Genomic DNA, 22,635 nt, shown 5'->3' with positions numbered 1-22,635 from the left:
GCCAGGGAATGGCATGCTCATTCACAGATGCATCAGTCCTCATCCCTGTAGGTTGGAAACCCCAGCAATGAAGAATCAATAGAAAGGTCTTCATCATGACTCATCACTCCAAGCTGTCTGTTCTAGAGCAGGGAAATTTCCAGCATGGATCTTTAGCTCCATTTGGGAAGATGGACCAAACCCTGCCCATCTTGGAGAAGAGGTGGCCTGACACTCAAGGTCCCACACACAAGGCTCTTTCCCTCTGTGTGACCATCAGAATCTTCAAGGGATACCTGACCATTTCATTTCTTTCTTTTCTTCCTTCTCTTGACAAGTTAATTGCAGAAGCTGTTGGAATCGCTTCAATAGAACAGATGGCCTGCGCTGGAGAACGTGTGGTGTTACATTAAGGGAGGGGTCTTGTGCTTAAGGGAAAAAAATGAGACCTGAACTAAAACTTCCACAGAGGACAAAGGACGAATTCCTGGAATCAAGTAAAGCAGTGCAGCAGCAGTGACAAAACCTCCAGAGTTCATCAGAAACAGAGAAACTGATTTCAGGGGTCACAAAAGAGTCTGGTGTCTGCATACCAGAGAGAACAAATGTAGGTCTTTTTTTTTTCATTCAAAAGATACAGATTACACTTTAAGAGACAGATAATTCCACTAAGTAAAACTCCTCTGAGAAGCACACTTCGTATGTCCAGGAGAAAGGCCATGAAAGGGCACTGTGGAAACTGGGAGGCAGATACAGGTGAGGAGCTTGCAGAGCACCTTGAAGTCCAGGAGCCTCTTGTACTTCAGAGCTGATGGGTGAGAAAAGCCGGTCAGTGTGGGAGGAACAGAGTGGGGCATAACACCCTTCAGCATGCATCAACATGACTGTGGGATTGTGGGGAAAAGGCTAGGAGGGGTGACAAGAGACAACAGAAAATGTTATTCTACACTTAAGCAAGACATTTTCTCTCAGGGTAACAATACGTCATTGGTGTTGATTTTCAGTGCCTGTCCTAACTAGGATCAGGTGGCAAAACAGGACACAAGATATTGAGAGTCCAGGGGACTCCATGCCCAGAGACTGCATATTCACATGGTAAGTGACCAAGAAACTGTTACATGAAGATGGTGGGTACAAACCATCTTTGAACAGAGAAAATGAAATAACTGTTTACAGAACATCAGCCCTCGGGACAACTCAGTTGGAAAATCAATAATCTAGAAATGTGCATTCTTAAAGTGAATGTGGCAGGTGAGATCAGAGCAAGGGAAAAGTACTGAGAAGGTAAAATGACAGTGAGCTCATGGCAACCCCGAATCTGAGTCCTAAGACATCAGTCAGTGCACAGGGTTGACCCGATGTGTGTCAGAAAGACAGGCAGAATCTCTCAGACCTGCTGTGGTCCCTGAGAGTTGAGAATGCAGGTGAAATGTGGACACAGAAGTCCCAATACATACCCATGCCTGTAATAGGAGGACACTCTTTTCAAACTGTGAGGGCTAGGGCCAAGCTTTTCTTACTGAGGTGAAGAAAGGGCCACATTACTGGCTTCTCTCTGCACAAATTGTATTGGAACACCCCTCAAGGGGTGCTTTCTTTGGGAGTGAAGCATGGTGAAAGCTTTTGCCTGAGGGGTTCTCTGAATTTGATCTTGATCTTGTGTTTATCAAGAGCAATGCCATGAAGTTCAGCTCACTAGAAACTGACTCAACATATCCAACTTGGAACTGGGTCTACTCCTTGCAAGGCCCTATTCCCTGTCCCTAGGATGAGGGAGTCAGGGGCTGCCAGGGCTATGCGGAGCTCTGACCAGAGTAAGAGAAAGGAGCCCTATGGAGACAGGAAGGACCTGCCTGGGCACATAAAGCCACAGTGGAGCAGCTGACCATGTGATAAACCTCGGGATGCTCAGCTATCTGTCCCCACAGATAGAAGCCACTCATTGGCCAGAAGAAAAACAAGGAGCACATGGGAATCTTGATCAAAGTTGCTCAAGGTCCAGTAACTTCTGGAAGCCCAAGAGAGAGCTCATATTCAGAGGACAGGAAGACAATTCCAGACCATTGGTCCACAGAGGTGTCACCTGTCCTTCTGTGTCTGTGTCAGCCTCACTGCCCCCTGACTTACCCCTGCCCCCAGGAAAAATGTCACAGGTAAGATGAGAACTGTGTTCTCTCTTCATCTGACTCTCTTTCTCATCTCTCTAATTCGGAGGAGTTTTTGCAAGGATTTTAGATGTGTTTTCCCCAAGGGAAAGAACATTATCAGGACAGTGCAACCCTTCATTTGAGGACTGGGGACTGGAATCCATCCTTGCTTATTCTTTTTTTGTGTGCGAATTTTGCTTCATTTTGGTAAGAATTCTTGACACGAGATCTATTATCCTAATAATTTTAAGTGCACAGTAGTGATCTTTAAAATGCAAATCCTTGGCTGGGCATGGCAACTCATCCCTGTAATCCCAGCAATTTGTGGGGTCGGGGTGGAGGGGATCTCTTGAGCTCAGGAATTTGAGACCAGCACAGGGCAACAAAGGGAGACTCCCATCTCTACAAAAAGAAAAAAATTAGAAAATTAAAAAAGAAACCTAGCCAGATGTGGCAGCACACGCCTGTGGTCCCAGCCACTCAGGAGGCTGAGGTGGAGGCATCGATTGGGCTGGAGAGGTGGAAGCTGCAGTCAGCAGTGATTGCATCACTGCACTCCAGCCTGGGGGTGAGAGAGTGAGACCTTGTCTCTAAAGAAATAAATAAATCCAGATAATATTATTATCTGAGCTTAAAACTTTCCAACACCTGGACATTGCACTTAAAATTCAAACTTCTTATCTTGGCCTATATGATTCCACACCTGCCTACCTCTCTAAAAGCTTATTTCTCTCACTCTCTCTTTCCCTCCCTAAACTTCAGCCACACTGGCCTTCTTTCTTTTCTTCAACCATACGACTGTTCTTCCTATGCGCCTTTGTACTTCCTGTTCCCACTACCTGCAGCACTATTCCTCTAGATATTCCCAGGATTGGCTTCCTGAAAAAGCCAGAAAATATTGTCAGCTCAGAAAGGACCAACCTAAGTGGCTCACTGTCTTTCCCGTTTTCCTTAAGATAGTCCATCCCACTGCCACTTTTTTTTTTCCTTCAGAGTAGTAAGCACCGTCTGAAATGATCCAATTTACTGCATTTGCTTATTGACATTCATCTGTCCCAACAGGACAGTATTTATTCATTCATCTCTCACTATATGCTCATCACTGTTCCATGCACTTACATGCTATCCACCCATTTAATTTTCAAACCCACAAGTAGGTATTATCAGTATTCTAATTTTGCAGAGGAAATACCAGAGGCTCAAAAAGATGAAGCAGCTTCAGTTGCAAAAACATTCCAGTACACTGTTGTTAACTATAGGCAACTACTACTTTTGTGCAGTAGAGCTCTAGTGCTTATCTATTTTGTTAAACTGAAACTTTATGCCCACTGACTACTAGCTCCCTACTTCCTGTCCTACAGCCCAGGGAACAACCATCCCACTCTTTGTTTCTATGAATTTGACTATTTTAGATACCCTATTTAAGTGCATGCAGGATTTATTCTTCTATGACTGGCTAATCTCACTTACCATAATGATCTGCAGGTTCAACTATGTTGTCATATATGACAGAATTTCTTCCATTTTTTTTTTGAGATGGAGTCTCCCTCCCCTGCCCAGGCTGGAGTGCAGTGGTGTAATCTCGGCTCACTACAACCTCCGCTTCCCAGGTTCATGCAATTCTCTGCTTCAGCCTCCCAAGTAGCTGGGATTACAGGCACCTGCCACCATGCCCAGCTAATTTTTGTATTTTTAGTAGAGACGGGGTTTCACCATGTTGGTCAAGTTGCTCTTGAACTCCTGACCTCGTGATCCATTCACCTTGGCCTCCCAAAGTGCTGGGATTATAGGCGTGAGCCACCACACCTGGCCAAATTTCTTCCTTTTTAAAGGCTGAATACTATTCTATCTTATGTTTATATCACATTTTCTTTATCCATTCATTTTTTGATGGATTTTTAGGTTGTTTCCACATTTTGGCTATTGTGAATAGTATTGCAGCAAACATAAGAGTGCTAATATTTCTTTGAAAACCTGATTTCAATTCTTTTGGACAAATACTCAGAAGTGGGATTTCTGGACCATACGGTGCAGTTCTACTGTTAATTTTTTGAGGAATTTCCATACTGCTTTTCACAGCAGCTGCGCCATTTTGCATTTTCACCAACAGTGTGTGAGGGATCCCTTTCTCCACATCCTCATTAGCACTTGTTATCTTTTGTTTTTCCAGAATGGCCATCCTAACAGGCGTAAGGTGCTATCTAGTTGTGGTTTTGATTTGCATTTCTTTGATGAGTCATCTTGGCCTGTCCTTGACTGGAGACACATTTTGGAAGCTGTTGGCACTCTCTGTTAATGGACATTTGGGTTATTCCCTCCCGTTCTCCCCTGAACTGGCTCTTCCCAGGTTAGTAGGAGGAAGAGTGTGTACTTGGTGCTGCAGGACTAAGATTAAGCCCTAGTGAAATCTGTAACATCTTTTTGGGCATTCCCATGGATCAGCTATAGCAACTCATTTAAGGATTTTTTTCTTGTTACAGATACATCCTGCTTTAGTGAGCTCAGCTTCTCTGCCAACTTCATCTGTGAAGCTGTCTTAAAGTATGAGAAGTCATTATCAGTGTTCAGGATCTCAGGAAAGGATGGTCTGATCTCTTTGGGCCCAGAGCGTTTCACCTCTCAAGCATCCTAAGTTCTTCAGTGTTCTGGACTCCATAGTGGGGCATCAAGGGTCATCAGGGCTGATTCTCAGAGGCCTAGCCAGCTCAGCCGAAATGTCCAAGGCTCAGGCAGTGGGCCCTGGACAGGGGATGTTGGCATCCTCCAATGAAATGATTCCATCCATCTTCCTGAGACAGGAAGGTGGACAGGAATCTCTCTAAGGAAGACACATGAGATCTCCTCTAGTCTGTGGTCAGCCTTGAGGTACCACACCTGCCCAAGGTGAGCAGGTTTTTGGCTAAGGGTGAATGGTTCATATCAGTTCTCCCCTACCCTGGATGCATTGTCTGAGGTGTTTTGCATGCTAGGCTCTTGGCCTCTGTCTCAGAGTCTTGAAAAGAGACAGAGCAGAGCTCTCCTGCTCACAGTCTGTATCTGCACTCATCCAGGATCTTCCACTTAAACGAGCTCTCAACATCATGGACAAACTTCCAGCATGTGAGTAGATTCACATCTGAGGCTACATCTTTGGTGTTTGCAAAATAGTGATAAGGATTCCATGGTTGAAAGAGGAAGCTGTGGTCAGGCCCCACCACTCCAGGGACAGTAGCTCAGTGCTGCTCTGAAGGGGCCTGGCTGCCCCTTTCTGTCCACTGATGGCTGAGATAAGAATATTCTCCAATCTTGAAAATGGCTTATAAGTCTTTAACTCTCTAGAGTTGCAGGGACCTTCTTGGGGTTTATTAACGCAATAATAGAAAAATAGTTATTGCACTCAAGTTGCTTAAGAGGCCCTCTCTGGACAGGAGCATCAAAGATTAACAAAGCAGATGAAGCCACTTGCCCCAGGGTGGTGAACTTGCTGAGCCTGCCTGTGGCTCTTTCCTTCTGGCTGTCACCTGGTTGCTCCAGTAGGTCATTCAGATCTCCATGTCCTACTAAGAAACTCCCCTCATTTATCCCACTAGGAAACATCCATTACCCTTATCATTTTCTATCCACTCAGCCCAATTTATTTTTCTCCTTGCAGTTATCACAATGTAAACCCAAAGAAGGTACAGACAGTTCTACCTTAGCACTGTCTTATCCTCATGCCAAAGATAAGTTTGTGGCAAGTGACATTTGCCTACTGAAGAGGCAATTTCCTGAGGAGACTGTTGAGTAGAGATGATGAAACGGTCTTTGGAGGAGCTTCAAAAAGGGAGGTCTAGAAGAAGAGCCCAGTGTGTTTCACAGATCCCAGAGCGGGAGGCAGAGGTCAGAGAAGCCTTGCGAAGTCTGCTCCACAATTCCAGATTCTATAAAAATAACAATTATTATTAGTTTTTTGAATATTAATAATAATTATTCATTAGAAACAAGATATAATAGTACTACTTGTTAATCATAATATAATCATAAATAATTAATAATCACATACAACTATTAATCACATTATATTATTAATATATTGTTATTAATATGCCACTAATAGCATATTCATATCATATAAATAATATTAATATAGTATACCAAATATATTAATATATACTGTTAATATGCTAATATATTCACATGTAATCAATAATACATTAATATCTTAATATTGAAAGCATATCAACATTAAAATGTACTGATAAACTATTTTACTAATATTGTATAAATATTATTAATGATACATTATTAATAAACTGAATAATGTTAATATCAATTAATATTAATGACCAAAGACCCACCAACATGGGTCGTGTTGGCATCAAGACTGTGACGAAGGTGGCCTAGGTCATCGTAGAAAAGTACTACATGTGCCTGGGCAATGACTTCCACACAAACAAGTGTGTGTGAGGAGATCCCCATTATCCTCAGCAAGAAGCTCCACAACAGGAGAGCAGGCTGCGTCACGCATCTGACGAACCAGATTCAGAGAGGTCCAGTGAGAGGTATCTCCATCAAGCTACAGGAGGAGGAGAAAGAAAGGAGGGACAATTATGTCCCCAAGGTCTCAGCCCTGGATCAGGAGATCATCGAAGTAGATCCTGACACTAAGGAAATGCTGAAGCTTTTGGACTTTGGCAGCCTGTCCAACCTGCAGGTCACTCGGCCTACAGTTGGGATGAATTTCAAAATGCCTCGTGGAGCTGTTTGACTCTTTCTCCAATGCTGTAATATACAGCAGTCACTGGATTTTATTTTCAATAAACCTGGGACAACAGCAATAAATAAATACATAAATATTAATAAACTAATGTCAATATTAATTATCAATATCCTTGATAGCATAATTGAGAATATGTTATATTAATATAATTAATATATTAACATAAATATATAATGTGAATATATTAACATCAATATTAATAACATGTTAATATAGCAATGTTATATTAATATAATTTATTAATATATAAATATTTACATAGTATTAATATGCTAGTCTCTCTATATTAATATATTTACATAGCATTAAAATACTATTCTCTATATTAATATTTATATTAATATTCTTAGGCCTCTTTTGTATTTGTTGCACCCTAAGTCTGTTCATTTCCTTCTCCTCAGCTGACATTTGGAGCATAGCAGTCGATGATGCCCACACAGACACTGCCTGAGACTCACGCCCCTGGAGAAACGCAGATTTCCTTATTTTCCAGGTCAAGTCCTGCCAGCCATAGAAAGGACTTCTTTGGTGCCAACTGCTGTGAAATGCCTGCCTTGGAAATCTCAGTGCTCCCTTGTACCTGTCTGAGCCCAGGGAAATGCCATACTGTGGCACTGCTGCATCCTGTATGGCTACCCAAGGATGCCCAGGACTGGGTTTGAAAGAGATGAGACATGGCCAGGTGCCGTGGCTCACGCTTGTAATCCCAGCACTTTGGGAGGTCAAGGCAGGTGGATCACAAGGTCAGGAGTTTGAGACCAGCCTGGCCAATATGGTGAAACCCCATCTCTACTAAAAATACAAAAAAATTAGCCGGGCATGGTGGTGGGTGCCTGTAGTTCCAGCTAGTCAGGAGGCCGAGGCAGGAGAATCGCTTGAACCTGGAAGGTGGAGGTTCCAGTGAGCTGAGATCGCGCCACTGCACTCCAGCCTGGGTGACAGAGTGAGACTCCAACTCAAAAAAAAAAAAAAAAAAGAGATGAGACACTAGTGTCTCATGAGTAGAACCTGGACCAGACACAAATCTCCATTCCCAATGTTTAGTGCCTCATTAGTGCCCAACAACAAGATATTGGGTCTATGTGGGTAGGCCTGGGGCATCCTGTACAACAGGAGATGTGTTAGGGGAGGGAGAACAGATCACAAATTCATGGAGAGCTATTTGCAGAGCAGATACTCCCATCCACTCTGATATGTAGTTAATGTTCAGCTGTTCCTAAAAAGCACACCCAACAATGGGTGTTCTATTCCAGCCTAGGAAAATGTAGAGGCAAGGGGTCTGAGGCCAGAGGACACCACTAGATGGACCACTGCTCCTGACTGTGATGTTGTGGCCCACTCAGGTCCCAGCACCCCATGGTCTGGGGGAAAATTTGCTGGTTCAGCCAGAGGGCTGGATGGACAGTGTTTGCTGAGTCACAGATATCTCTCTCATGTAGCCTTTGTCTCCACAGTGGTGACCAGGAGGCACAGAACCCAAACCTGGTATCTCAGCTCTGTGGCGTCTTTCTTCAAAATGAGACGAATGAAACCATACATATGCAGATGAGCATGGCAGTGGGACAGCAGGCCCTGCCCTTGAATATCATTGCCCCCAAGGCTGTGCTGGTCTCCCTCTGTGGGGTCTTATTGAATGGCACTGTCTTCTGGCTGCTTTGCTGTGGGGCCACGAATCCCTACATGGTATACATCCTCCACCTGGTCGCTGCTGACGTGATCTATCTTTGCTGCTCGGCAGTGGGGTTCTTACAGGTGACTCTGCTAACTTATCATGGAGTCGTGTTTTTTATCCCTGATTTCCTGGCCATATTGTCTCCCTTCTCCTTTGAGGTGTGTCTCTGTCTCCTGGTGGCCATCAGCACAGAGCGGTGTGTGTGTGTCCTCTTCCCCATCTGGTACAGATGCCACCGCCCAAAATACACATCTAATGTTGTCTGCACCCTCATCTGGGGCCTGCCTTTTTGCATCAACATAGTAAAATCACTTTTCCTAACTTACTGGAAACATGTAAAGGCATGTGTCATATTTCTAAAGCTTTCTGGGCTCTTCCATGCTATCCTTTCACTTGTGATGTGTGTGTCGAGTCTGACTCTACTCATTAGATTCCTGTGCTGCTCCCAGCAGCAAAAGGCCACCAGGGTCTATGCGGTGGTGCAGATCTCGGCCCCCATGTTCCTACTCTGGGCCCTACCCCTGAGCGTGGCACCCCTCATAACAGATTTCAAAATGTTTGTCACCACCTCCTATTTAATTTCCTTGTTCCTCATTATAAACAGCAGCGCCAACCCTATCATTTATTTCTTTGTGGGGAGCCTCAGAAAGAAAAGGCTGAAGGAATCTCTCAGAGTGATTCTCCAACGGGCGTTAGCAGATAAGCCAGAGGTGGGGAGGAACAAAAAGGCAGCTGGCATCGACCCAATGGAGCAACCACACTCTACTCAGCATGTGGAGAACCTTCTTCCCAGGGAGCACAGGGTCGATGTGGAAACATAATTTCCCACATCTGAGCTGGGGAATTGTACACATAGTAACCCAGCCTGTTCTGCATCATAAGGCTGCTGCATCAAATCAATGCTTTATTCTAATCAAGTTCAGCTTTCATGGACTTTCAAAACAACCCCTTGCTGTTTGTGGTTGGAAGAGACATTAACTTCCTTCCTAGGCAGTAAGCCCAGTTTGAATGTGCTCCAGTTCCAACGATGAGGGGAATGGGACCCAGTGAGACTTTCCTGGTACCTGTGGAATCCCAAATAAAGACCATACAAAAGGCCATGCATTATTCTCAATCATTATCCTGGAACATCCTCCAAATCCAGCCACAGATTTTCCTCCCTTTGTCTATCTCCTCCTTAGATAGAGCTTGAGCTTGTCGGAATTACCAAGAGGCATCATCACATAAGAGTAAGAGTCAGGGTTTTGGACCCAGATTGCCTTTGTCCAAACTTTGGCTCTCCCATTCAAAGCATGTTATTGTGGGCAAATAACTCTCTGTAACTCTGTTTCATCTTATGCAAGAGGAGGATAAAGTTGGTATTTAATATGCATGGTTGGTGTGAGGATTAATTAACCTTATGAATATACAGGACTCCTTGGATTTTATTTACAACATGTGTAACAATTATTTAGTAAGGATGATGAATATGTTGCAGTGTGTTGAATAAATGTACAAAAACATTACGTTGGATAATATAATCCCTCCTCACTAGGTTAGAATTTACACCCAAACCTTTTACTTTGAAGAAAGCAAATTTACCTCATCCTCTCTCCAACTTAATACCATTTAATTCTTCATCTTGCTTACATTGCTTACAAAACTCTCATATTGGGTTTCTTTTGTTAAATGGAACACATCCTTTTTGCAAATTTTCTTTCCTCTGTGAGGAATTATGTCACTCACAATTTTCCTTGTTTTTGCCTTTTCCATGTTTTATCTCTAGTTAAAAAGGTCAACTTTAAGAGCATTTCTATGATCACATTCTCTGGCTGGTCTTATTGATCTTTTATTTCTTACAACATTATTGTAATTTGTAATGGTTCCACCATTTTGGTCTTATTTTAAGCTTCCCCTAGAAGACGAGAAGTTTTGTGAGGTTGAAGTCATTACTTCATGATTCAGTTTAATGTCCCAGTGCTTTGTACATAATAAGTTGTTTTAATAATACCTCTTTGTAATTTGAATAAAAATTGCATTCCCTTTAAGTACATACCCTTTATTTAAGCCTTATTAATTTTATATCTGTGATTTTAGACAATCCTTCAAGGACTAGAATTGCCATTCTATAATATTGCTTTATATATATATATGCTTTAAATTCTAGTTATTGTATATATTATTTTATTGTGGTCAAATAATATAACCAACAAAATGTTATTATTAATATTATTATTTGTATTTCTTTCAGATTTACTCTGTGGCTGAAGACATGGTCAGTTTTGTCCACCATGGTGTTTAAAATAATGTATAGTCTCCTTTTAAGGTGTAATTTGTCAAATAACTTTTTTTAATGATTTCTATATGTGCTTATTCAATTATGTGTACATGTTACTCAAAACAAAGAAGATTCATTCAAGTCTGATATTAAAATATATGGTTACCTCTTAATTCCCATACTGCATCATTGTGTAGCTCATGTCTCATGATGCTGACATTTCAGGAGCATGTTAAGGAGGTGTCAGAGTGAAGGAAGGGGCATGAGACTTCTCGTGGACAGGTCTTTGTCTCTCCACTTCTGTTAGCTCTCCATCTATAAGCAGATTAGTCCTTTTTCAGTTGTCTGAGCTGCAGATACAATTTCCAACATTTTCATTGGTCACTTACTTCGGTTATGATTTTAAAAACATGTTATTGTCAAGCACACCGTTTTTATAAATTTGAATTTGTCAGTCTTTTATGGCTTATGTATTGAGTTATGATTAAAGAAGTCTTACCTACATGAGATAATATAAAATGAATCTATGCTGTCTTATACTATTAAATTATTTCATTTGTAAACATGTAAATATTTGATCAATTTGATTTTTTTTTACTGGAGGATAGTGTGAAGTATAAGCCCACTTTAATCTTTTTTGTTAAACGGTTAAATTATTCAACTTTGTTAGTCATCAGGAGCACTGCATAATGAGATATGATTTTCTACCCCTGTTATTAATAAGCTTTAATGGCTGGACACACAGAAGAATATGGAGGATTTAATGTCTTCTGCAACCAAAGTGGTGAGTTTAAGTTATTGCTTTTGTTGGGGAAAAATTGAGTACTGTACCTTAAAATTATAAACACACATACACTTATAATCAACGTTTAAAGTTTTATTGCTCCATTTTACAGAGACAAAATAGTGTTACCAAGTGATATCCGTGACAGGGTGTTTATTGCAACAATACTGGTTTTACCTGCTCCCAAGGCAGAAAATCCCACTGTCCCTACTGCAGAGATGCATCTGGGAGGGATTGGGTGACTGGGCACTTTCACACCTGTAGCTGTTATGTACTTCTCCAAGGCAAAGCCATGAAGTAGGACTTAGCAGGAACTGGTGCCCATAGCTAGGAACAGGAATCTTCTCACACGCACACACACACACACAAATTACATTGATAAATATTTTCATGAGATTGTTTCCAGGGAATTTGTAAGACAAAAGTTTTTAATGAAATTACTACTCCCCACCTCTTAAAATAAAAGGAAAAAATAAAACAAATAAAATCAAACTAATAAGTGAAAATAACATGGCCAATAACATCATATGTTCAGACCCAAAGGTCCAAACCTGAACCCTGACCTTTTGCCAAAAGAAATGGGATTGTGAAATATGAACAAACATTAGAAAGGTGTTTCACCTCAAACACCCAGGTGTGGCCACGGAATAAACCAAATAAGGAAAATCTCCCAGAGGGAAGTTCCAGTGTCTATGGACAATTCACTAAATAGATTAGGTGAATCCTTCCAATGAGAAGAACAGAGAACTGTGAGCTTGAGAGTGATGGAACTTACTTTCCTGACAACAAGTGTGATTCTGTCTGTTCTTTTACCCAAGAATGTCTAGCTGGAAAGGACACTCACTGAATGAATGGAATTAAATGCCTGTCACGTGGGTGCCAGAATGGAGCTAGAGGCAGTAACAAGATGATACTAGGTACATACAGTTCTTGACAAAATAATGAATGCATTTCAAATAGATGCAAATATTTTAATTTTAACTTGGACAAGGGAGGGAGGTGTATATAATTTGGGGGTAGGTGAAAAAGGCCTAAGTGTTGGTTATGGTGAGGGCATTCCAATGAGATATCGCAGGACATTCTATGTGGTATGACTCTAAGAAGAGTTTTCACAGATATAAAAAGAGATGGAAGGAAAGGAAGTTCTTTTTTCTCGCATTTTTTATATCATATTCTGAGTATGAAGTCATATCCTAAGCATTCGGAAAACATGCCCAGTGAGGAATGAGGACAATATTCTGAAGATGCCAGAAGTAAAAGTGGATAATTCTAATTTTTTCAAGACATTGTGCCACTGACTTGAACATCTTGCAGCAGCCCTATCTACAGGTGTCTTGTGCTTCAATATTATACATCACTGACTGCTAAAATTAGTTTAATTGAGCTTCTCTATTTGGCAGCCAAAAACATTTCTAACTGGAAATATTTTCTTATCCTTGAATGAAAAGGCAAAGACAGCCTTCTATGGGAATGCTACACAGCAAACTGGAATCCTAGTACTAGATAAGCTTGCCTCATACATTGATGCCCATTGTTGTTAAACCAGGGCCTAGATTTATGTTTATAAAATTATCTGAGTGTGGCTTTTACTGTGATAGAAGCAAATAGTGCTGGTTCTCAAAGGTAGAAAAGCATAAGAGATACACTATATGGGGGAGGCCAATCTTATTAGGGGTGTCCTGTGGACAAGAGTCCCTGGATAGAATCCCAATTGTGTTTCAGATACATGACTATAGGCAGGACTTGAGCCTGATAATCACCAGTATTAGGTATCATGAGAGAGTGGGAACAGAGGATGCTCTTGAAACCAAGAATTTGAGACAGTGAGTCGAGATCATTTCACTCCATGCCAGTCTGGGCAACAAAGTGAGATTCTGTTTCTTAAAAAAAAACATACAAGGGATGTGAAGGACCTCTTCAAGGAGAACAACAAACTGCTTCTCAAGGAAACAAAAGAGGACACAAACAAATGGGAAAACATTCCATGCTTGTGGATAGGAAGAATCAATATCGTGAAAAAAGCCATACTGCCCAAAGTAATTGATAGATTTAATGCTATCCCCATCAAGCTACCATTGACTCTCTTCACAGAATTAGCAAAAACTACTTTAAATTTCATATGGAGCCAAGAAAGAGCCTGTGTAGCCAAGACAATTCTAAGCAAAAGGAACAAAGCTGGAGGCATCACGATACCTGACTTCAAAATATACTACAAGGCTACAGTAACCAAAACAGCATGGTACTGGTACCAAAACAGATATATAGACCAATGAAACAGAACAGAGACCTCAGAAATAGCACCACACATCTACAAGCATCTGATCTTTGAAAAACCTGACAGAAAAAAGCAATGGGGAAAGGATTCCCTATTTAATAAATAGTGTTGGCGAAAATGGTTAGCCATATGCAGAAAACAGAAACTGGACCCCTTTTATACAGCTTATACAAAAATTAACTCAAGATGGATTAAAGATTTAAACATGAGACCTAAAACCATAAAAACCCTAGAACTAGGCAATATCATTCAGAACATAGGCATGGGCAAAGATTTCATCACTAAAACACAAAAAGCAATGGAAACAAAAGCCAAAATTGACAAATTAAACTAATTAAAATTGACAAATTTTAGTTCAGTTGACAAATTACACTAATTAAAATTGACAAAATTTGACAAAATTGACAAATTAATTAAATTAAACTAAAGAGCTTCTGCACAGCAAAAGAAACTATCATCAGAGTGAACAGGCAACCTACAGAATGGGAGAAAATTTTTGCAATTTATCCATCTAACAATGGGCTAATATCCAGAATCTACAAAGAACTTAAACAAATTTACAAGAAAAAAACAAACAACCCCATCAAAAAGTGGATGAAGGATATGAACAGACACTTCTTAAAAGAAGACATTTATGTGGCAAACAAACATATGAAAAGGGCTTATCATCACTGGTCATTAGAGAAATGCAAATCAAAACCACAATGAGATACCATCTCATGCCAGTTAAAATGGTAGTCATTAAAAAGTCAGGAAACAACAGATGCTGAAGAGGATGTGGAGAAACAGGAAGGCTTTTACACTGTTGGTGGGAGTGTAAATTAGTTCAACCATTGTGGAAGACTGTGGTGATTCCTTAAGGATCTAGAACTAGAAATACCATTTGACCCAGTGATCCCATTACTGGGTATATACCCGAAGGATTATAAATCATGCTACTATGAAGACACATGCACACGTATGTTTATTGCGGCACTATTCACAATAGCAAAGACTTGGAACCAACCCAAATGTCCATCAATGATAGACTGGATTAAGAAAATGTGGCACATATACACCATGAAATACTATGCAGCCATAAAAAGGACGAGTTCATGTCCTTTGCAGGGACATGGATGAAGCTGGAAACCATCATTCTCAGCAAACTATCGCAAGGACAGAAAACCAAACACGGCATGTTCTCACTCATAGGTGGGAATTGAAAAATGAGAACACATGGACACAGGGCAGGGAATATCACACACTGGGGCCTGTTGGGGGTGGGGGTCTAGGGGAGGGATAGCATTAGGAGAAATACCTAATGTAGACGATGGGTTGATGGGTGCAGCAAACCACCATGGTACATGTATACCTATGTAACAAACCTGCAAGTTCTGCACATGTATCCCAGAACTTAAAGTATAATTTAAAAAATAATAATAATGAAAAAATAATTTGGGTACATATAATAAAAAAATTCAAGATCCACAATCTCTTGAATATAAAAACTACATGAAATATAGAGGAGATAGGACCAAAGGTAACAGCTGCTCTAGACCCTTAATGGCTCCCTTGTAGGGAGGATCAGTACTGTCCCATAAAGTCACATTCCCTATGTGACCTTGAGGTCTTCTCAGATTCTATCTCTGCAGTGAGGTAAACAGCCAGTCAGCACCGAAGGACAAGGAGGGGTGTATTTTAACATCTTGTCACCCTTTGATCATAGTGTATTTCATTCTTATATATCTCTCCTTCCTGGTCACTGTAGAACCATACAGAAACCATCTGCCCCACTATGTGAATCACATTTAACCACAAGGTTTTAAGAGGGAATATAATAAAAGATTATTTCCTGCAGGGATAAGAAGCAACTTCAAGCTAGAAATGCATGAATTGCTAGAGAAACCAACGAAAGGAGCCTTGCATCCATCTCATTTTTCTCAAGTTGAGCCACATGTGAACAAAAGTCTATATGAAATGATCAGCTGGCTCCTTCACAAACAGCTGTAGGTGAACGGAGGGGAATAGCATGAGGATACATGGAGTGTGAGCTTGATCTGGCTTTCAGTAAGAATTTGCCAATATGTTGTGTCAGAACCTGCTTGGTAAGTGGCACAGCACAAAAACATTCCCAAGACTTCTTTACATTATGTTTATGGATCATTCATGACTAATTTTCCAACAAAAACAAACATGCACTAGAGAAAATCAAGAAAGAGCAAATTGATCTTTGAGAAGACAGCAAAGTAAAGTTCTTACATTAATTTTACTTTACAAAACATGCAATTCAATTCATGACAAAATCCAAGGAGCACGTTTGAGCTACTGGAATTCCTGAGTTCATTGGGAAAATGCTGACCTGACTTTCCTCTTCTGCCTTCTAGGATGGGTTGGGCTGGGCTGGACCTCAGTCTGGGAGATGCATTAAAGTGGAGAGACTGACTTCTCTTAAAGATTCTTCTTTGTTTCAGGGGACAGTTCTTAAGGACAGAGTAATAGAGTCAGACAGGATTGGGGGATATCGTGAGATGTTGAGATAAAGATGCTTCAGTTAAAGGCCTGGGCTCTGATATGCAAGTGGCCCTGGTACAGGAAGACCTAAGGGACACAGGGAACTTGATAACTGCTTGTCAAGACCCAGTTCAAAGCAGATATGCTTAGAGAGCTTCCTGACATGAGGGCAGAACTTTGATCTCTCAGGAGGTTGGCCTCTGTGATACCAAGTCCGTCCAAGTCCTCCCAGGTATGAGAAAAAAGGTCTCTACCTTTTTTTTCATTTTCAAAGCATTTTAACTCAAAGACTCATTTTTTAAAAAAATTTAAAACCTTGTGATTTTTTTTTTACTGAGGAAGGTGCATTTGAAGATTGACAGGATAGAAACCAGTTTCCTGGAAAAAGGAGGGCCTGCGGTTCCCAAGGTAGCCCCAGTGGGTGAGCTACTTCTGTGTTCTGGTCCCTGGTTCACAGGTGCCCTGGCTGTGTAGATGGGCAGAGGGTGTGTTTTTCTGTTAGAAGTAGGATTTGAGCCACTGTGTTACTGAGGTGTGGTCTATGACTTCTGGGTGTAACCTTTCAGATTTTCCAATTTCCCAGCTTCTATATTCGTATTTAATTCTCATCTAACACAGAAAATGAAGTTCTGGCACATGCTGCACCATGAACAAGCCATGAAAACATGAGGCTGAGTGAAAGAAACAGAAACAAAATGTCACGGAAGGTTTGATTCCACTAATAGGACGTGTCCAGAATGGGTGAATGCGCAGAGACAGAAAGCAGATGGTGGTTGCCAAGAGCTGGGAGGGAGAAAGGGATGTAACTGCTAAGGGCATCCTTATGGGGCATGAAAATGTTTTGGAACTAGATAGAGTTGGGGGTTGCGCAATATTGTGAAGAGGCAAAGTGAGGCAGAACTGTGCACTCTAAATTGGTTAATTTCTGTTATGTGAATTTCACCTCAGATAAAAATTAAGTGGGGAGGGTGGGCTCTCGCCTCAGAATCAGAGCAAATACTTCAATCCCAATGCAAAGGCTACTTGGCTATTTTGGCTGCACCAAACTGAGCACTTCCAACAGCGCTGGCTCCCTGAATCCCAGGATCCAGCCTGTTGTATCTACTCCTTGGGGAGCCTGGCTCATGACCCAACTTGGAAATGACATTCCCAAGACCACAAATGACATTTCCAAGTACCAGGATGTCTCTATGCCCAGTGCTGGGGCCACACCAGATGCCGAGGCCTCTCCACCCCAGGAGGGCTGCCTCCTCCTCCTAGGTGACAATGAAGAATGTACTGCTCAGTCACTGGGCTCAGTGGTCGTCTCTGGGCATGAGCTGGGTTTCAATGAGCTCAGGAATGGGAAGCATGACTCTGCCCCTGAGGCCACATGCCACCTCCATAGCGGATCTTTTCTTCTGGCTGGAGGGGAAGTCACTTCTTCCCATGAAACTATTTTATCTATAAATCTCCTCTCCTTGTTGGAGACCAAAGCCCAGCTGCTCCTGCTTGGTGCCCTGGTGGCCTGGGGTGGGCCATGGAGTCCTGTTTGCAGTTTCTCTTCTGTCACCATCACGAGTTCTGACACCCTGGCCTGGGCACAGAACCGCACATCAGCCTGATGTTTCCATGGACACCAATGTTACTAAGCCCCAAGCCTCGTCTTATGACCAGATTAGATATAAGCTGGATCTGCTTTCCTCTCCTGGCCTCAGATAAGAAAGTCTAGGCAACAGGCACAGGGAGGGGCGAGACTGGGGCCAGACCCTTCCATTTCAACAGAGCTGCTGACTGAAGGGGAACTCCATCATCCTGGCAAGGAGGGAAGATTCAAACACTGGGCTCACTTGGAGCTGGTCCCTAGCACTCTCCTGAAACCCCACTGATGCACCAATATGTGACTGCAGATCACAGGGTCACGTGTGAGATATTTCCTGGCATATCTTAGGCTTTCATCAATTTGTGGAACAATCTTTGTTTTAGAAGCCTCTGTGATCCATAAACAAAGCTTCAGTAGCTCAGGGTTGTAGGACCAGGTTCGTCTCACCATTCTGAGACTTCCCATGATTCCATGTATAAAGTTCTCTTCACTACTGTGATCATCAGCTTGGACTCCCATGACTAAGACCACAGACTGAGTGACTTAAATGATAGAAGTCTATTCTGTCACAGTCCTGGGGGTTGGAATTCTGAGATTAAGGGGTCGGCACTGTCGGTTCTTTCTGAGACCTCTCTCCTTGGCTTGTAGATGGCTGTCTTTTCCCTGCATGCTTACATGGTTGTCCCTGTGTGTTTAACTAATCCTAATCTCCTCATCTCATGAGGACACCAGTCCTATTGGATTAGGGCCCAACCTAAAGACCCATTTTAACATAATTACCTCTTCAAAGATTCTGTCTGCAGACACAGTCACATTCTGAAGTATTAGGGGTTAGGACCTTAACATATGAATTTAGAAGGTCACAATTCAGCTAATAACAGCAACCCTTAGATAGCTGGGAATACTGAGGCAGAAAAGGATCCACTGCTTATCAAAGATAGCTGTGATTTGCCCACATAAGATCAGCTTTCATACCCTTGGCCTGAACTCCCAGGTTACTAGGTTTGACTCAGCTGTGGGTTCCCAGAAGAGGTATTGATCCTCTCCCGTTTCATTTTTAGTTAGGTGACCAACCAGCTTGGTTTTCCCAGGGCTATCGGGATATTCAGGACAAGGAATTTTCAGGAATACAAACTAGGAAATTCTAAGGCAAAGTGGTACCTTTGCCCTCCCTGCACAATTCTTCACACAAAGACCTGTGATTGGCAGCCTGAAGCGGAGTGCCTGCTCCTGAAGTGGACAGAGCCCATGGCTCAAGTGCATGTCTCCCTCGGGACCCCATGAAGCAGCTTCTGGTGTGCAGGGTCCCCTGCTCTCACCTACATGTAACAGAGCAACTTAAGTCCTCTGCAGGCACCCTCCCCAAGTAGCTCCTCAGTGTCAAACCCTGTTCCAGGGGCTGGAGAAAAGGCAGTGAACAGAATTTTAAAGACAAAGTAAATTCTCATGGAACTTCCATTCCAGGGCATGATTCCCACAAAAGCAAGTAAGTGAATATCATAGACTGCCAGCAGGTCAAGAGTGCAATGTTTAAAGGCTGATCAGCAGAAGATCACCTGGAAGGTGACCCTGAGGCAGAGACTGGAAGGAGGAGACCGAGCTCACTGAGGCACAGAGGCTCTTCCAAGCAGGAGAACAGCATGTGCAAAGGTCCAGGGAGGAGGCCTGAGAGCTAACAGAGAAGAGGTGAGCAGGAGCAAGGTTGGGAGCCCTTCCCTTGAGTACTGACCAGCAACCTCCCCATCCAGGACTCAAGGAGTCTCAGAACCTCAAGGTAAAGTAGTCACTCAGTGCCCCCACCAAAACGATGTCACAAAAACAGCCTGTACCAGTGGGAAAGTTGGAGAACCATCCCTATGGGCTAATGTAAACAAATGTATTTTTTTATGCAGCCTTATAGATAATCTGGGTGCACGGGATACACACTGGGCCTTGGGCACAGCATGAAGCATCAGGGATAACTGAATGCGGTGGAGAGAGGGGTAAGGGTATGCATGAGAGGGCATCCTGCAATGGAGAATCTGGGAGGGAAGGGATGGGTCTCCCACAAGAAGCTTGCTCCTTTCCTCCACTCTGCTCTGCAGAATCCCTGCCAATCTCATGAGGCTCAGCAGGAACCTCTGAGGACAGAGGGCAACCCTGACTCTCCTCTCCAGACCTGGTATGTTACCAGCCTTTGTTTTTGCAGGATGTGCGCAGGCAGCAAAGGTAGCCCACCATAGCCTAGCTTCTCGCAACCCTCTCTGGAAAGCTGGATTGGGACAATGAGACTGAGACCTCAGGACATGTGAACATGAGCCATACGGGAGGTGAGTGGTTGGTGGACAGGCAGGTGGTCTTCTCCCTGACAGTGCTGGTGGCCCTCTGTGGACTGGTAGGCAATGATGTGATCTGCTGGCTTCTCTACTCACAGGTCTGGAGCAGCCCCTATGTGACCTACATCCTTAACCTGGCCACTGTTGATATGGTCAACCTCTCCTGTGTAACTGTGATCCTGCTGGAGAAAATCCTCATGCTGTATCACCAGGCGGCATTGCAGGTGGCTGTGTTTCTGGATCCTGTCTCCTATTTCTCCGACACAGTGGGTCTCTGTCTCCTGGTGGCCATGAGTATTGAGAGCTTTCTCTGTGCCCTCTGTCCCACCTGGTGCTGCCACCGCCCAGAGCACACCTCTGCCATGGTGAGGTGGGCCCTGGCCCTTTCTTTGTATGCAGTTAGCCAGGTCTGTGAGTACTGGGAGAAGTGCTTGGCATGTGACCAATTTCATGAGGCTTTATGACATGTCATGTACTTATTTGCTTTGTAATGGGCATGTCCAAGCTGATCCTGATCATCTGGGGTCTGTGCTGTCCCCAGTGGTGTTCCCCCATCAGGACCTATCATGTTGTCTGCTTTGTGATCATCAGCTTCTTCCTTTGGGTCCTGCCCTTAGTTGTCCTTGTGTGCCTGCCAGGAAAGTTTCTGACCCTTGCCTTTGACCTCCTGTTGCTACTGTCCATTGTGGTCAGCATGCCTCACCTAGTCATCTACTTCTTGGCTGAGTAACTCTACAGGAAGAGGCACAGGGAGTCCCTAAAGGCTGTTTTTCAGAGGGCTTTGTTGAGTGAGATGGAGGCATGGATAAAATGAGGCGTTTCAGGCCCCCGATCCCAGGGCAGATTTCAGCCTCACAGCTGGAAACAAACTGCTCTTCTAGGGGGCTCAGCTCCTCCACAAAGGCAGGGACTGCCTATGCACAAGGCTGTAAAAGGGATCATGTCTGGAAAACATGCTGGATCCTCCAAGGAGCAGGGTGAATGTTCTTGAGATTATTTATTACCTTTGTGTATTTTCAGAGTAACCAGATTTCTGACTGAATTCAAGACAAAATTACTTTGCTTCTGTTGATAGCCCATTATTCTCAATTCCCATGGAAACCCTCTGGAAAGGCAGGTCAGGAGCAAAGCAGACCTTCCTGGCTTCTTCTTTTTTTTTTTTTTTCCAGCTAATTATTTTATTTTATTTTATTTTATTTTTCTTTTTTTATTATACTTTAAGTTTTAGGGTACATGTGCACAACGTGCATGTTTGTTACATATGTATACATGTGCCATGTTGGTGTGCTGCACCCATTAACTCATCATTTAACATTAGGTATATCTCCTAGTGCTATCCCTCCCCCTTCACCCCACCCCACAACAGGCCCCAGAGTGTGATGTTCCCCTTCCTGTGTCCATGTGTTCTCATTGTTCAATTCCCACCTATGAGTGAGAACATGCGGTGTTTGGTTTTTTTGTCCTTGCACTAGTTTGCTGAGAATGATGGTTTCCAGCTTCATCCATGTCCCTACAAAGGACATGAACTCATCATTTTTTATGGCTGCATAGTATTCCATGGCGTATATGTGCCACATTTTCTTAATCCAGTCTATCATTGTTGGACATTTGGGTTGGTTTCAAGTCTTTGCTATTGTGAATAGTGTCATAATAAACATACGTGTGCATGTGTCTTTATAGCAGCATGATTTACAATCCTTTCGGTATATACCCAGTAATGGGATGGCTGGGTCAAATGGTATTTCTAGTTCTAGATCCCTGAGGAATCGCCACACTGACTTCTACAATGGTTGAACTAGTTTATAGTCACTGGCCATCAGAGAAATGCAAATCAAAACCACGATGAGATACCATCTCACACCAGTTAGAATGGTGATCATTAAAAAGTCAGGAAACAACAGGTGCTGGAGAGGATGTGGAGAAATAGGAACATCTTTACACTGTTGGTGGGACTGTAAACTAGTTCAACCTTCCTGGCTTCTGCAAGCTCCATATTTCTGAGAGTGACAAGTGTCATTCATCCTTATTCAGTCACCTTGCTCGGAGTTCTGTCCTCTGTCACCCCAGTCCATCCTTCCTGGGGACCCCTGGGCAGAGACTGATTCATGATCCTGATGTTCCTCCACCATTATGGCCTCAAGTTTCCATCCATCCCTTCCTACAAAAGCCAGGAAAGCGATTCAGTAAGAGTGCCATAACAAGTTGTTTCTGGCGTTGCTCACTGTGGAGAGATCTAACGCTGGCAGTCTGGCCTACAGCCTGGTTTCTCCAAGCTGTTTCACTCTGCTCATTCCAGGTTCCACGCACAGGCTACTCTCTGTGTTTTTCCCAGACTCATCACACAATCTAGCGCCTGTGCTTCTTCACAGGAATCCCACCCTGCAGAATGTCATGCA

General features: G+C 42.8%; 1 protein-coding gene, 2 long non-coding RNA genes and 2 pseudogenes across 4 annotated transcripts; 4 read left to right on the top strand and 1 right to left on the bottom strand.

Moving 5' to 3' along the window:
* The first annotated feature begins 1,980 nt into the window (after positions 1-1,980).
* LOC124901486 (uncharacterized) lies at positions 1,981-7,607 on the top strand. The gene is made up of 4 exons (XR_007059914.1): positions 1,981-2,132; positions 4,297-4,473; positions 4,607-5,984; positions 7,266-7,607. It is a non-coding gene; the product is annotated as an uncharacterized LOC124901486 (long non-coding RNA).
* Positions 5,942-20,424, bottom strand: LOC105375008 (uncharacterized). Of its 2 annotated transcripts, XR_007059916.1 has the most exons (4): positions 20,336-20,424; positions 16,191-16,311; positions 10,960-11,143; positions 5,942-6,025 (listed from the first exon to the last, which is right to left on the bottom strand). It is a non-coding gene; the product is annotated as an uncharacterized LOC105375008 (long non-coding RNA). The 2 variants fall into 2 exon arrangements; XR_007059915.1 differs by lacking the exon at positions 5,942-6,025 and having other exon boundaries at positions 10,770-11,143.
* Positions 6,430-6,920, top strand: RPS17P1 (ribosomal protein S17 pseudogene 1; annotated as a pseudogene).
* On the top strand, positions 8,167-9,426 carry MAS1L (MAS1 proto-oncogene like, G protein-coupled receptor). Its single transcript, NM_052967.2, has one exon. It carries the CDS (start codon positions 8,221-8,223, stop codon positions 9,355-9,357), a length of 1,137 nt encoding a protein of 378 aa, NP_443199.1. The 5' UTR covers positions 8,167-8,220; the 3' UTR covers positions 9,358-9,426.
* Positions 20,052-21,098, top strand: MAS1LP1 (MAS1L pseudogene 1; annotated as a pseudogene).

The sequence above is a fragment of the Homo sapiens genome, chromosome 6, assembly GCF_000001405.40.
Source record: "Homo sapiens chromosome 6, GRCh38.p14 Primary Assembly".
Taxonomy (NCBI): Eukaryota; Metazoa; Chordata; class Mammalia; order Primates; family Hominidae; genus Homo; species Homo sapiens.
The sequence above is the reverse complement of the archived record's forward strand: the minus strand, read 5'-3'. Positions and strand labels throughout refer to the sequence as shown.